Source organism: Homo sapiens, chromosome 8 (assembly GCF_000001405.40).
Source record: "Homo sapiens chromosome 8, GRCh38.p14 Primary Assembly".
NCBI classification, from domain to species: Eukaryota; Metazoa; Chordata; class Mammalia; order Primates; family Hominidae; genus Homo; species Homo sapiens.
In genome coordinates this window covers 6,028,197-6,044,792 of record NC_000008.11, presented here as the reverse complement: position 1 = coordinate 6,044,792, position 16,596 = coordinate 6,028,197, and the positions used below count along the sequence as shown (strand labels likewise).

Below are 16,596 nucleotides of genomic sequence, written 5' to 3'. Positions count from 1 at the left end.
TTTGTGTCCACACTCTGTATCTAGCTAATCGGGTGGGGACCTGGAGAACCTTTGTGTCTAGCTCAGGGATTGTAAACGCACCAATCAGTGCCCTGTCAAAACAGACCACTCAGCTCTACCAATCAGCAGGATGTGGGTGGGGCCAGATAAGAGAATAAAAGCAGGCCGCCCAAGCCAGCAGTGGCAACCCGCTCGGGTCCCCTTCCACAATGTGGAAGCTTTGTTCTTTTGCTCTTTGCAATAAATCTTGCTGCTGCTCACTCTTAGGGTCCACACTACCTTTATGAGCTGTAACACTCACCGTGAAGGTCTGCAGCTTCACTCCTGAAGCCAGCGAGACCACGAACCCACCGGGAGGAACGAACAACTCCAGATGCGCCGCCTTAAGAGCTGTAATACTCACCACGAAGGTCTGCACCTTCACTGCTGAGCAAGCGAGACCACGAACCCACCAGAAGAAAGAAACTCCTAACACATCCGAACATCAGAAGGAAGAAACTCCAGACGTGCCATCTTAAGAGCTGTAACACTCACCGTGAAGGTCTGCAGCTTCATTGTTGAAGTCAGTGAGACCAAGAACCCACCAATTCCGGACACAGAAGGACGAGGAATGAAGGGTGTTCCGGTGGGTACATGTTGGCTCCTTTGCTCAGCTCAAGTGACCTCTGAAGCCTGTTCTACCTTTCACAGTGGGAAGAGAGGAAAGGGTCACTAGAGTCATGTGTAAAATGTGGCTCCATCTTCTCAAATCAGGGATGAATGCCTGCCTATTTCTGGATATGTCAGGGAAGGCAGACACAGAGAGTTAGAGAAAGGGAAAGAGAATGAGACAGAGAGAGACAGAGATAAGAAGGGGGAGAGGGAGTGAAAAAGAGAGAAGGAGAGGGTAAGGGAGAGGAAGGGAGGGAAAGGGGGAGAGAGAGAAAGAGGGAGGGAGAGAGAGAAACAGAGGAGACAGGGCTGAGATACCAGACAGTGGATTTAGAGTTCCTGGTTCCCACAAGGCTCTTTGTGTGAATCAGAACAAGTTTTTCCCACTGGACAGCTGCATCCCTATGGGTCCATGGCTTTCCCACTGGGCTGCATCTTGATATGAATTAGAAAATGTCATCTTTAAGTTGGAGATTCTCCACCTCAGCACTGTGGACATTTGGGCCAGATAATTCTGCTTTGGTGGGCTGTCCTGTGTAGAATGTTTATAGTAGCATTCCTGGCCATTACTCACTAGGTGCCAGTAGAATGTATATCAAATTGTGACAATCAAAAATGTGTTCAGGTATTGCCAAGTGCCTCCTGGAAGGCAAAATTGCTCCCTGTGAGATCCGCTAACTTAAGTGAACATAGCTGCGTGCAGGAGTGCATGGTTTGGAGAAAGGATTGTAGGTGGGTTTTTAGTCGTTCCCCAACGACTTTCTGGGCTCCAGTTGCTTCCTTGGCCAGGTACACTTGTGCAGTGCACAATCTCCACAACTGTACATAGCAGTCCTGCTGGTTCCTGTGCATTCCTGTGTCATGGCTGAATCTCTTCCACTGGGTTCTCTGGGACACTCTTGAGTCCTTAAAGCAAATGTGCCCTTTATACATTGTCTGTCTTGACTTTAGTTTTATTTGTAGGTGAACAGCCATTGTTCTCTTCTTATCCCTCCATCTCTGTTTGTGTTTTATCAGAAATTTCAAAAGATGCTACTCTGTTTATGTTAGCACAAGTAGCTACTGTGTGTGTTTCGAAACTTTTTGCAAGTGTGAAAGTGTTTGGTTTGAAAGGTGGTACCTGTATTCAACACTCATCAAATCTCTTCTTCAAGGGCCTTTTCTTTTTTCTCTGACCTTTTATTTTTGGACCAAACACCTCTAAGACACCATAGAGTGTATCAGTTTCCTTACAAAAATGTGGCATCGTTCACTTCATTAACGCTGTTTGATCTTTGACAAGTGATAAAGGTGTGATATGAAACATAATTTCTCATAACTTGAAGATACTCCAATTAGCATATATGAGATGGGAAAAAATAAAGAGGGTATTTTCTAATTAATTGAAAATCATGCTTAGATTTAGAATGGTGTTTCCCAAACTATCAGGTCTGTAAGTTCACAAGAAAGAATCACCACCATTTTTAAGTAACAAAAATAAAATAATATTTTGAACAAGTTGTTTTTATTTCTTCTTATTATTTTAAACAAGTTATTATTGAAAGGGTGATCATGATTGCAGTTTCTCCCTGCAGTATCTGTTACCAGGCTCACAGGTGCAAAGTTGGAGTGCTAGGTGAGATTCCGCAAGTGTCCAGGCTCTTTTCTTTCTATCGAATGAAAAATCTTTACTCTCAATTATAGGTTGTCAGGAATGAGAGCAATTGTTTGGTGGCTCTGTAATACAGTTTTGGATATTTTATCAAATATGGCCCCGGAAATTATAGAGCATTTTCTTACTCAAGAAAACGTTCAGACACTTGAGACACTAAATCGATGAGTATCTATTGCTCTCAGAGGCACACTGAATGTTTGAGCTTTCAAGGTTGCAGGGAGTGAATCCCTAATTCATGTCTGAGCTGCATTTGGGCCTAAAAGTATTCTTTTTCCATGTTCGATTATAGTGTTGGAATGTGACTTCTAAAGATGCTCCATAATATGTCATTACATTTGCTCCAGTGAGAAAAGAAAAGCTCTTCCCAGATCAGCCCTCACCTCGGGTCCCCAGCCACACTGGCCTTTCTGGACTAGCCATCCTGGGACCTGCTCATCCCTGTGTGTTTGCACTCATCTCTCCTTAGTTCTGTTTGCATGCCTGGCTCTTTTGCATCTTTAGATCTGTCCTCAAATGTCACCCCTCCAGAGAGGCTTTTTCTAAAGTGGTGCCCCTTGGTCACTCTCATTCCCATCACCCTGTTTAATTGCTCCCCATCATTCATTGCAATCAGTAGTGACTTTGTTGGCTTGTTTACTATGTTTTCCCACTAGAAAATAAGATCCCCAAACTTGGGGCTGCATTGCGTCCACAGCTGTGTTTCCAGTGCCTGGAACACAATAGGTGCTTGATAGAGAAGACTGGATTTCTAAATGGTTACTTCTTCCCGCTAGACAGTACCTTTTAAATCCTGTAAATGTATTTAGATTTTGGTTTCTTCTCTGCCTTTTTTAGACGAAAAACTAGTTTTCGATGGAGAACATTATTTTGCACTTTTTCTTCCTGAAAAATAAACCTGGTTTATCAGGGAGATGACTATACTTTCTTTGAAAATGATGTGAGGGCCTTGATGGCTTTATGCTGCTCTTTAGAAAAATCTCACAACTTTCAATCCACTGGGACGCAGGAGCACATGGAACATTGGTCCATTAAAGTCCAATTTTCAAATAATTGCTATTGGATTTTTTTTTAATCTTTCTTTCTTTTTCAACTGTGTGGAAGAAATCACACTTTTGGATGAATTGTCCCAACACATGTAATTTCAAAGTATATGCTTCCATGAAAGTCCTGCTCACAATTGTTATAGGCTGTGTCCCCCCCAAATTTATATGTTGTAGCCCTAATCCCCAATGTGATTTTATTTGGAGATAGAACCTTTAAGGAGGTAATTCGAGCTAATGGGGTCACGGATGTGGGGCCCTAATCAGATAGGACTGGTGTCCTTATAAGAAAATAAACAGACATCACTATCTCTTTCGCTCTTTCATATAAGCACACAGGAAAGGCCATGTGAGGACACAGAGAAGGCAGCTGTCTACAAGCCAAGGACAGGGACTGATGTGGTTTGGCTCTGTCCCCACCCAAATCTTGTCTTGAATTGTGGTTCCCATGGTCCCCACGTGTGGTGGTGGGACCTGGTGGGAGGTAGTTGAATCATGGGGGCAGTTACGCCAATACTGCTGTTCTCATGACAGTGAATGGGTCTCATGAGATCTGATGGTTTTATGGAGGGCAGTTCTCCTGCACATGCTCTCTTGCCTGCCACCATGTAACATGTGACTACTCCTCCTCCTTTGCCTTACACCATGATTGTGAGGCCTCACTAGCCATGTGGAACTGTGAGTCAATTAAACCTCTTTCCTTTATATATTACCCAGTCTTGGATATGTCTTTATTAGTGGTGTGAGAACAGACTCATACAGGGGCCTCACTGGAAACCCTGACGGTACTTTGATTTTGGACCTGCAGCCTCTAAGACTATGAGAAAGTAAGTTTGTTTTTCCTAAGCCACCCAGTCTGTGGTATCTTGCTATGTCAACCTCCACAGGCCAGTATATCAATGTATATATAATTTTGAATTTTTCATTTCAGCTTACTATTCTCATCACTAGTTCTGTGCTATATTTCAATGAATACACTTTGAACCATTCATTTATTATTATTTTTTTAATTCAGGGATAATGCACAATATAGTACTAAACATCAAATGTCGACTTCAATGTAAACTGCAACACTCATTTACAAGAAGAGTTGCAAGTTGTCAACAAAAATTTAGCTGATTCCAACTGAGTACACATGTTACCTTTAGGAAAGTAATGATTCTGAAGATGACAATGAGATTTCTGTAAAAACTATAATTAATGTAGCATTTCATATATTTGAAATGTGTGCAAAAATAATTTTGTTGCTCTTTCCTCTGAAGCAGAAGTGAATTGAAAACCACTTGATGTGGGTCTACATTGCAAAATACACAGCCTCCTTTTCTTTCTAACTTCATGATTTGAGGATGTTGACTTCTGATGGGTCAAGAGTCTGAGGGCATGGTGTATTAGTCCATTCTCATGCTGCTAATAAAGACATACCGAGGCTTGGTAATTTATAAAGGAAAGAGGTTTCATTGAATTACGATTCAGCGTGGCTGGGGAGGCCTCAGGAAACTTACAGTCATGGCAGAAGGGGAACCAGTCACATCCTTCTTCACGTGGCAGCAGCAAGGAGTAGTGCCAAACAAAAGGGGGAAAAGCTCCTTATAAACCCATCAGAACTCATAAGAACTCATTCCCTATCATGAGAACAGCATGGAGATAACCGCCCCCATGATTCGATTACCTCCCACCAGGTCCCTCCCACAGCACATTGGGATTATGGAAACTACAGTTCAAGATGAGATTTGGGTGGGGACACAGCCAAACCATATCAGTTGATGAGGGAGCTTGCCTTTAACTGGTACTGAGTCTGCTAAGTTGCATTTACAAGCAGACAGACAAGTTTTAAGCTTCAGGTCTGAAGACACTGGAGTATATAAGACATGCTGGTGACCTCTGTGTGCCTTATGGAGTCATGTCTGCCACTTCTTCACTGTGCATTGTGCCCTGGGGGGTTGACCTCTGTTGACTGCATCAAGAGGTGCCTTTGCCCTCTGGCCTTGATTGGGTTCAGGTGATAGGAAGTACCTGCGGGAGAGCAGAGAAGGGTAGGCTCAACAGTGCTCACGCCCTCAGTGGCGCCCATGTCCTAATCCCTGGAACCTACAAATAATGACCTTATAGGCACACAAGATTTTGCAAAAGTGATCAGGCTAAGGGGCTTGAGATGGGATGATTGTCTTGGTTGGTCCAGATTGACCCAATGTCATCACCAGTGGCCTTATCAGACAGAGGCAGGAGGATCAAAGCCAGAGAAGGAGATGTGATTGAGGCAGAGATTGGGGTGATGCAGCCATGAGTCCAGAGGACCTGGCCACGTCTAGAAGCTGGAAGCAGCAAGATGCAGATTCTTCTCTGAGGTCTTCAGGAGGAACTAGCTCCAGTGACATCCTAATTTTAGCTCCATAAGACTCATTTTGGGCTTCTGACCTTCAGAACTTTAAGAGAGTTTGAAAAATACATCACAGACCACTGGAACATGTTTTAAGTGGCAAAACTATATTGTTCTCTTTTCTTTTTAGCTTTTCACCTTGGGAAGGAAGTTGCTTCATTTTTTATTTGAAATAGAATTGTTTCTGTTGTTTTCCTAGACCTGGAGAGTGAAGGAAGCCATCCTTGAGGAGTGAAGACAAACTTTGGATGTAATTCCTGTTGATTTCAAGTAGCTTCTCTCTATATAAGACAGTAATATAATGGAAACATTTGTCCTTCTGCCACTAACACAGACATTTGTGTTTTTTTAAGCCGTTAATTATTTTGGTAAATTCTTACAGGAGCAATAAGGAGGTAATTAGAAGGGGAGCAACAGTGAGATGAGGGAGCTTGTGTTCCCTCCTCCCACACTCCCTGGGGGTGGCATCTGATATGGTTCCGGTCTGTGTCCTTGCCCAAACCTCATGCGGAACTGTAACCTTCAGTGTTGGAGGTGGAGCCTGGTGGGAGGTGATTGGATCACGGGGGTGTATTTCTACTGAATGGTGCTGTCCTTGAGATAGTGAGTTCTTGCGAGATCTGGTCGTTTGAAATTATGGGGCACCTCCCTCCTGTCTCTCTTGTTCTGCCTTTGTCATGTGAGGTGCCTGTTCCCTCTTCACCTTCTGTCATGATTGTAACTTTCCTGAGTCGTCCCCAGAAGCCAAGCAGATGTCAGCACTATACTTCTTGTACAGCCTGCAAAACTGTGAGCAAGTTAAACGTGTTTTTTAAAATAAATGACCTGGTCTCAGATATTTTTTTATAGCAATGTGAGAATGCCCTACTACAGCATCAGTGAGCTGCACACGTCTGTGTGCTTCCCTCTCACTTCCCTTGAGGCCCAGGGATGGGAAAGAAAAACTCTCCAGCTGCCCCACCCTTGCAAACAGAATTTCTTCTACACTTCTCTCATTTTATAGGAGTTCGAATTTGCCATTGTTTCCTGCTGAGCTGCTATGAGGAGTAGCAGCAAGGAAGCGAGGATGGGACTCTGTGGGAGATGAGCTTGCATGGTAGCCTCCTGTCTCTGGCCAGAGTCTGCCTTTTTAATTGAATCCCTTCTGGGCCCTAATGAGAACGAAATACATCCCCCCAACTGATGACCTGAGTCCTCAAGCCCCAGTGCTGTGGTTGCTATTTCAAAGGATCAAATTTGATTCATGCGGAGAACATTTCTCATTGGTTTCCAAGGGTTAACCATGGAGTGAAGAAGATGGGATTAAACCACTGCCATGAGAAATTAAAGATGTGTTATAAAATGTATCAGAAAACTTAAGAAAATGAACTCTTCTCTTGTTTTTAAAAACAATGCTTAAAGAACTCTTACGAGTATCCTATTAGTTTTTTTTGTTTAAAAACAATTCTTTTTTTTTTTTTTTTGGGACAGAGTGTCACTCTGTCATCCAGGCTGGAGGGCAGTGGTGCAATTTCAGCTCACTGCACCATCTACCTCCCAGGCTCAAGCAATTCTCGTGCTTTAGCCTCCTGAGTAGCTGGGATTACAGGCACAAGCCATCACGCCTGGCTAATTTTTGTATTTCTACTGGAGATGGGGTTTCAACGTGTTGGCCAGGCTTGTCTCGAACTAATGACCTCAAATGATACACCCGCCTTGGCCTCTCAAAGTGCTGGGATTACAGGCATGAGCCACTGTGCGTGGCCCAAAAACATTTCTTAAAGAACTCTTATTTTGAGAATCCTCTTAATTTTTTGAACTTTTGGAAATAGGACAAAAAACTCTTTGGAGAAGGGGAATAGGTCTCTGTGGAAGGAGAAGAAAGTTTGAACAAACCATCCAATGGGAAGCAACGAGGCGACAATTTCTCTTTTCTTATCCCACTGCTATTTTGTGGCTATGTACTGTCCGGGTAGTGTCAATAATGTAATCCTCTGCTGTGATTTAATGGCAATGTAAGGTTTCACGCTTAATTTTCTGGTAATGTTTGAAAAATACATCACTGACCATTAGAATGTGTTTTAAGTGACAAAACTCTCATTCTCTTTTCTTTTTAGCTTTTCACCTTGGGAAGGAGGTCTCTTTACTTTTTATTTGAAAAGGAATTGTTTTTATTGTTTTCCTAAAGCTGGAGAGTGAAGGAAGCCATCCTTGAGGAGTCAAGATAAACTTCGGATGTAAGGTCTGTTGATTTAAAGTAGCTTCTCTCTCTCTGAGACAGTAATATAAATGAAGCATTTGTCTTTCTGCCACTAATGCAGTTCTGCCGTTTGTAGTGGCCTGGGCTCCCTCTGGGTGGAATGTTTCACCAGGCATTGTGAGAAGAGGAGAGCGGGATTCTGACCCAGGCGCTGCTGCTGGAGGCTCTGTGACACCCGCACATCATCACTTAACATGCAAGGGCTGTCCATGGTCACTGTCTCTTTACAGTGTATGATGTAATTGGTATTTCATGACTATAATATAAAAAAATGCTCAAGTGTCTGTGTGGATGATTGAATAGAAGAGAAACCTACTCTGTGCTCATAACGCAGGGTTTCGTTTGTCCTATCTTCCCTTCCAGCTGAACGGTCACTGGGTCACAGAATTCCACCGGGAACGGGAAGAGCCTCTGGAGCAGCGCCCACAGTCCTGCCTTCTGTGCTTGGGGTGAGTTGGGTGAGTGGAGCCAACCTAGACCTCGGGATGGGCAGAGTAGGATCCGCAGGCTGGCTCTGCCCTGCCCAGTGGTCAGGGACAGGTGCTCCGGGTGGGGGCTGTGCAGGCTGGGTCCCTTTACTGCTTAGGCTCCTGTCACCTTGCTCTCAGCCACTGCTGCAGGTGAGCATTGGGCGGGCGGATTTCTCACAGGAGATAGACAACTTCAAAGGCATGGTTGCTGTCTATCCTGTCACCCCCATGCACTCACAGGATGAGATTTTTTTAACCATTGGGCAAAATAAAATTTAACTGTCAAAAATAAAGGTCTGATGCTGCCTATGAACGGTTTTATATTTCATCCTTAATGCTTCTGTCTCTTTTTTTTTTTTTTTTTTTTTTTGAGACATTGTCTTGCTCTGTTGCCCAGGCTGGAATGTAGTGGCACAATCATAGCTCACTGCAGCCTCAAACTCATGGGCTCAAGTTAGCTCTGATGTTAGCCTCCCAAGTAGCTGGGACTACAAGTGTGCACCACCATGAACATTTTTATTTTTATTTTTTAAGGGATGAAGTCTCACTATGTTACCCAGGCTGGTCTTGAACACCTGGGTATAAGAGACCCTCCCACTTCAGCCTCCCAAAATGTTGGGATTACAGGCATGAGCCATCATCCCCAGACCTATATATATAAAAACTTCAGGACTATTATTTATCTCCTAAAATCAGTGTAGAGTAATTTTTAAACCCACTCGCCTGTATTCTGCATATCAGCTTTAGTTGCTTTCTCTTGCTGAGCCTTCTGCATTATCCAGGATTGTTTTATTCTCTCAATAAACACAGCCATTTCCTTGAACAGGGGAGGTAATACCTGCATAAGTGTACGTACAGTATGTAGCAAACCATGTGGGTAATTCCTAAACTATTTTGCTTTGCAATAATGAAGGGTTTGAAAACCCTAGGTGAGTATTGGCCCTCTGGTGCCTCTCTCCCTCAGCTCTCTCTTCTCCATTTTCTTTGCTGCTTCATGCTTTCCTCCATCTTTGCTATGTGTCCCCTTCTTTCCTAATTATTTTGCCTTGAAATGCTGCTTTTAAAATACGGTTGCTGGCTTCTCCAGCTTTCCATATTAAATTTATGCTAAGTCCTGTATCTTGGTGGCAGCGCATCAGTCTTTCCTCGGCAAAGTCCTTGCTGACATATCCTTTTTGTCCTCTACTCCACCGTCTGCTCTGCAAGAGGCGTCTGGCTGCAATGCCTCATGCCAAGCTGCTTTGAAATCATATCTGAAAACTTACCATTTTGCTGAAAATGTATTTCTCTGGTGGAGTCTCCAGTGACAGATGGTCTGTTTCAATATTTTTCTGCCCATAAAAAATCCCAATAGTCATGGAAAAGAAATGTCTACCTTTGTAAGGAGCATTTTGGGTGGGCTTTCTAGGGTTGGTTTCTTTGCTTGTTATTTCCTGCTAGAAGTATGTTAGATGGAGGCTGTGTCCTATTATAGAGCCGTGTTTTGCATAAAGTCTCATCAACTGTCAGCATCATGACTTAAAATGTGATAATGAGATAGAGACATTTAAGTTCCAGATTGCTCAGACAGTGTGGAGTCGATCATGCCTGCATAGCTGTCCAATTCAAGCATGCATGCAGACACGTGTGTGTCTCTTTCAGCGTTCTGAGTTGGATGACAATTTTACTTTGGATGGATTTTGTGATTTGCATAGAATTATATACATCTTATTTAAAGTCTTTTGCCCAAGTTGCACTGAGACTCTCAGAAGGGTGATTTTCAATAGGGAATCCTGGTACTTATGGTTGTAACATTTCAGAAGAGCTAACACTTGACACACTTCCGCATTTTCAGCAGCATTGTGAAAACTACAAATTCATTTACACGACTTGTTGAAAAACTGCAGAAGTTCTTTAAATTTTGTTTCTTTTTTTGAGACGGAGTCTCGCTCTGTTGCCCAGGCTGGAGTGCAGTGGCACGATCTCAGCTCACTGCAAGCTCTGCCTCCCGGGTTCACTCCATTCTCCTGCCTCAGCCTCCCGAGTAGCTGGGACTACAGATGCCTGCCACCACACCTGGAGAATTTTTTGTATTTTTAGCAGAGACGGGGTTTCACTGTGTTAGCCAGGATGGTCTCGATCTCCTGACCTCGTGATCTGCCCGCCCCAGCCTCCCAAAGTGCTGGGATTACAGGTGTGAGCCACTGCGCCCAGCCTAAATTTTGTTTCTAAAAGAAGTGAGAGCTAAAGGTAATAAAATGACATATGAGAAAAAGAAAATAAATATGAGAAGATTAAACCCTCAATAATCCCATCTTGGCTGAAAGTGGGCCAAAGGCAGGTTGCAAAAAGCAGCAACAATAGGTGTATCCTCAGATTTGTTGCTGCTTTTTCTTCTACCTGGAAAAGCTTTCCATCATCATTTAGTAACATATAAAATCTGAGTGTTTCAGACTAGAGAGCCAATGTAAATACTTAGAGCGTATGTAGGCTTTCTTGATGGTCTTTATGAGGACTAATAACAAATTGTGTACCTGTTCTCTTTCTTTATAGAGTTTTCAAAGTGAGTTCTGGGAAATGTTAGGCCATGTATAAAAGAAGAGGTGGTCTTAAGAAAGGCCATGGTACCCGTGGCTGGAGGTCCTGGACACAGCCTCTCCCTCATCTCATCCATGGAGAAAGTTCCCTATATTAGTTTGTTCTCACATTGCTATAAAGAACTACCCAAGCCTGGGTAATTTATAAAGAAAAGAGGTGTAATTGACTCACAGCTGTGCAGGCTGTACAGGAAGCCTGGCTGGGGAGGCCTGAGGAAATTTTCAATCATGGCAGAAGGTGAAGTGGAAACAAGCACATCTTCCATGGCTGGAGAAGGAGGGAGAGAGCGAAGGGTAAGGCACCACATGCTTTTGAACGGCCAAGTCTTGTGAGAACTCACTCACGATCATGAGAACAGCCAGGAGGAATTCTACCCCCATGATCAAATCACTTACCACCAGGTCCCTCCCCCAACACTGGGGATTAAAATTTGACATGAGATTTGGTCAAGGACACAAATCCAAACTCTGTCATTCACCAACATGTTATGGCACCTACCGCTCCTTGCCTCAATGCTCGTTTTCAGCTAGCTTCAGTTGCCAGTTTCTGGTGCTTCTTAAATGGGTTTCTTAAATGGTTTTCGGAGGTTATGTAAAAATGTGTCACCGAAATTTGTGTGTATGCGTGTGTGTGTGTCTGCACACATGCACATGATCTCCTGGGGGAGAGATTCAAACATTTTCATCATGTTTTCAAAAGATGCTGGGATCCACGGAAGGTTAATAATTACTTCTTCTTGTGTCCTTGTTCAGCATGGGTTCTTTCAGTGAAATTAGGTGAATACATCATATAGCCTGACAATGTGAATATAGATTGTGCTATAATTTAAGTGTTTCTTCCAAGAAGCAAGTGTTGAAAGCTTAATCGTTAAGACAACAGTGTTGGGAGGTGGGGCCTGATGAGGTTGATGCCATCATGATGGGAGTGAGTGAGTTACTGTGAGAGCAGGCTCCTGATAACAGGATGAGTATGGCCCCCTTCCACTGCTCTCTCACACACACACTCTTGCCCTTCTGCCTTTCATCATGTTATGATGTGGGAAGAAGGCCCTCGCCAGATGCCAGCCTCTTGATCTTGGATTTCCCAGCCTCCAGAACTGTAAGCCAATAAATTTCTGTTCATTATAAATTACCCAGTCTCTGCTGTTCTGTTATAGCAGCACAAAACAGACTAAGACAGATTGCAAACTCAAAAGGCTTTGGAAGCAAGGCGGGTAAAATGAAGGACCGCAGCAGGTGATCTACAAGGCAGTAGGGAGTGTTGGAGCCTGTGGGCAACTTGGAGAGTGGTGGCTTATTTAAGGACACCTAATTCAGTCAAAAAGTTTACATTCAGTTCAACTGCTGGCTGAATATGGTTCACAGGGACTGCACTGCCATTTATGACAACCTTTGCTTGTTGAGAACAAGAGAGAGAGATAGCCTCCTCCTTGTCTTTATTTTCTGTTTATCTGCTAGAAATGCAGAACAATAGTAGGTAGATGGGATAGGAGCTGGTCATCACGGGTCCCAATCAAACAATATCCTGACATGATTTACAAGGATTAAGTCCTTTCAAAGTGTTCAGTTGAACCTAGAACAAAGTAGAGAATTTCTGACATGACCTGCTAGTTGTGCCCAGCACGGCATGGCCTCTACCTGCCTCTCCCACTGTCTCTGGGCCTCTTGCTACTCTCCTCTCCTCTCACTAAGCTCCAGACTTCTTTCTTCTCTCTACATGCATCCGGCTCTTTTCCACATCACAGTCTTTATTTCTGCTCTTTTCTCTACCTGGAAAACCTTCATATTTACTTTCATAGCTAACTCCTACTCAGTTCTTTAGGTTCTAGTTCATATTTTTTGCTTAAGGTATTAGTATCCTTACTGTTCATAGACCGCAAACTTCTTGAGAGCAAGGATCATGCAAACCATTTTTGCTGCTGCGCTTTCTAACACAGCGCCTGACACCCAGTAGGCACTTAATACACATTCCTCGAATGAGTGCACGGCAATATCAATGATTAGAGATGAATAGATGTCTGGGAAAAGCTGATCTCTTGGGTGAGGCTTCAAGGATGGCAGAGCCTTGGTGTGGTCACCATATCCCATGGAATGACTCTCAACTTTGTAGGTTTCTGAACCTGAGTTGTATGTCTGTCAGGACTCAGTGATTGATTGACCCCCCTAAACTTATGGGAGACTGTGGTTTAAACTAGAATGCTGATTTTAGAATTCATTATAAGACTGGGCCCAGTGGCTCAGTCAGCATTTTCGGAGGCTGAGGTGGGCAGATCACCTGCAGTCAGGAGTTCAAGACCAGCCTGGCCAACCTGGTGAAACCGAGTCTCCACTAAAATACAAAAATTATCCAGGCATGGTGGTATACACCTGTAATCCCAGCTACTCAAGAGGCTGAGGCAGGAGAATCACTTGAACCTGGAAGGTGCAGGTTGCCTGTGTGACAGAGTGAGACTCCATCTCAAAATAAATAAATAAATAAATAAATAAATAAATAAATAAATAAATTCATTATAAAACTAAAACTTCTCTTATATCTGAATGCTTAGGTCAGCCCACCGACGTATTTTCTCATTAGACATTGATAAACATGGAAGAAAAATAGATAGTGGAAGAATTAGAAGAGAATATGGAAGCAGAATGTGATCTAGAGCCCTGTTTGGCCACCACAGCAGGTATGGGATATGAACAGCTGAGTTAATTGAGCAGGTTAATGGGGATGGCCTTGCCTTCAGTGGTATTGGAAGGAACCTGACAAATTATTGATCCATTTCTAGACTCTAGGCTATTGCCTAATAATTTGTGTTGTGTTTCCTCTGAAAAAATAAAAGAGGATACCAAGATTCAATAGATACCAAGCACTCATTTACATTGCCAAGCCTTTATTGAATAGCTAGATCTCCTCTTTCTGCTTTTGACCTCAGAGACATAGTTACTTGTAAAATGATTTCTGCAGATGGCTAATCTAATCTAAAGTAAATTAATTTCAATAAACCTTCAGAAGGTGAACTTACCTTGTCTTTGACTTCGATCCTCTGTGCTAACTTATTAATAATTACTAAATGATTGTTGATGGAATCCATACTGTTTGAAACCAGTTCGTCTTAGTTCTTTCAAGCTGCTACAACAAAAGGCCTGAGACTGTGTAGTTTAGACACAATAAAAATATGCCTCACAGTTTTTTTTTTTTGAGATGGAGTCTCGCTCTGTCGCCCGGCTGGAGTGCAGTGGCCTGATTTCAGCTCACTGCAACCTCTGCTTCCGGGTTCAAGCGATTCCCCTGCCTCAGCCTCTCAAGTGGCTCGGACTACAGGCTTGCACCACCACAACCAACTAATGTTTTGTATTTTAGTAAAGATGGGGTTTCACCATGTTGGCCAGGATGGTCTCGATTTCCTGACCTCGTGATCTGCCTCCCTCAGTCTCCGAAAGTGCTGGGATTATAGGCATGAGCCACCGCTCCTGGCCATGCCTCACAGTTTTAGGAGCTGGAAATCTGATATCAAGATGCCACCTGACTGGGTGTCTAGTGGGAGAATCACCTCCAGGTTGATAGATGGCATCTTCTTGCTGTGTCCTCACATGGTAGGAGGGGCCAAGGTGCTCTCTGGGGTCTTTTCCACAAAGGCATTAATAATCCCATTCACGATGGCTGTGCCTTCCTGACTCAATTACCTCCCAAAGGCCCTACCTCTCAATACCATCAATTTGGGGTTTAGGATTTCTACCTGTGAATTTTGGAGGAACTCAAACATGAGATACGGCCCTGTGCCATTAGGATTTACTGCCCATTACATTACCTGGTGAATGATGATGGGGAAAGAGGGGCCACAGTATTATCTAATTTTGGCTTATTTAAGTTGAGATCAGTTTTCCTGGAGGTATAAAAGCACATGCAAACAAAGAACAGCTCATAGTAGAAGACACAGAAATACAGTACATGTTCAAAGAAGCAAACCTATGTTCTTTTAAAATTAATACAGTACTTCAGCATTTCATGCAGCTACTGGAAAAGGAATAAGCCTTTATCTTTTTAGTTCATGTAAAAGCACTTTGGAATGGATTTTTTCAGGATTGGGAAGTAGCATAAAATTAATGTCCCTTAAAGTCACCTTATAGATTTTCTGTCTGAGACCCCATTAAGGCAACCTGAGTATTGCCATGCTTGCATGCTGACCAGAGTAGAAGTATCACTCATATTTAGAGTTTTAAAAAATGCAATTACAGGAGAAATCAACAGGTGTGGCTTTTGTTTTTTCTTTCTAAACCCCGGCTTAAAGCGCAGGCGCACAATTCTCAGAGCAGGGGACCATGACCATCTCACACTTTTTATAGGCACATACGAGGCTCATCAGCAGATGCCAAGTCTCTGCTGCAAAGGCTGTAGCCCTACAAAGGCTGGAGACTGGCACGGCACATATTTTATTGTGCCAGACAATACAAAGCTGGAAGGCTGCTTTATATAATTGCCTTTTGCTGTTGCATAAAAAAGGGTGGATGTTGGACAGGCAAAAACAATAACTATTTTCTATGGTTGTCTTTATACATTTTATGTAATTTTAGATTTGTCATATTATGCCAAGAGAAAAAGTTGACAGATCAATGTCCAGTAGACTTGTTTTTTTTTTTTTTTTTACATACGGCTAAACATAATTCATATGATTAGTAGAATAATGTCTTTGTTCCCCACATGAAATCTATGAATTCCCAATACCTGCAACTTGCTAATATTATGTTATTTGGAAAAAAGCATCTTTGTAGATGTGATTAAGTTAAGGATCATGAGATGGGAAATTATCCAGGTGGGCCCCAAATGCCTTCAGAAGTGTCCTTATAAGAGAGAGAGGCAGAAGGAGATTTCACAGACACATAGCTGATGTGAATATGAAACAGATTTAAAGGTGCTGCTGAACTGGAACGTGGGAATGATGTGGCCACAAGCTGAAGAACGTGGCCGTCACTAAAAGCTGGAAGAAACAAAGCATAGGTTCTCCCCTAGAACCTCCAATGGGTGTGTGGCTCTGCTGAGACCATGATTTTGGCTCAGTAATGCTGATTTAAGACTTTTCGCCTCCAGAACTATGAGAGAATATATTTCTACTGTTTTAAGTTTCTACATTTGCAGTAATTTGTCACAAGAAACAAATATAAGAAGTAGCCAATATATTGACTGCATTAGCATTTTAGCATTGAAATCTTATAAAGGTGTCATACATCATCAAGATGGGAGAATTTAGGTTTCATTTCCTGCTCTGCTACTAGCAACTTGCTTGCTTCCTGCCTCTAATCGACTATTTTTCAGTTAAGGGAGAAACGATTTAGACAAGCTCAAGACCTTGCAATAACTCTTTTAATGGTCAGTTTTATTTTTCCTTTGGCGCAAAAGGGCATTTGTAGCCTTACTCACTGGATGTCCTCCTATGTGCCTTTGTGCTTTCAAATGTTATATTCTTGGCTTTTTCTAGGACCATCGTGGCTCACTAGTTTCACACTCCTTGACTCGATATTCAGCTCCAATTTTCATTCTGTTTAACTGAAAGAACTGCGTGGTTCACAGAGACCTGGACATACAACCGTTAGAATTAAATTAGC

The 16,596-nt window shown here is 42.8% G+C and overlaps 1 long non-coding RNA gene across 2 annotated transcripts; it reads left to right on the top strand.

The window, feature by feature from the left end:
• The first annotated feature begins 182 nt into the window (after positions 1–182).
• Positions 183–12,136, top strand: LOC105377796 (uncharacterized). Of its 2 annotated transcripts, none has more exons than NR_188123.1 (4): positions 183–625; positions 7,890–7,943; positions 8,325–8,410; positions 10,964–12,136. It is a non-coding gene; the product is annotated as an uncharacterized LOC105377796 (long non-coding RNA). The 2 variants fall into 2 exon arrangements; NR_188122.1 differs by having other exon boundaries at positions 7,819–7,943.
• The last annotated feature ends 4,460 nt before the right edge of the window (positions 12,137–16,596 follow it).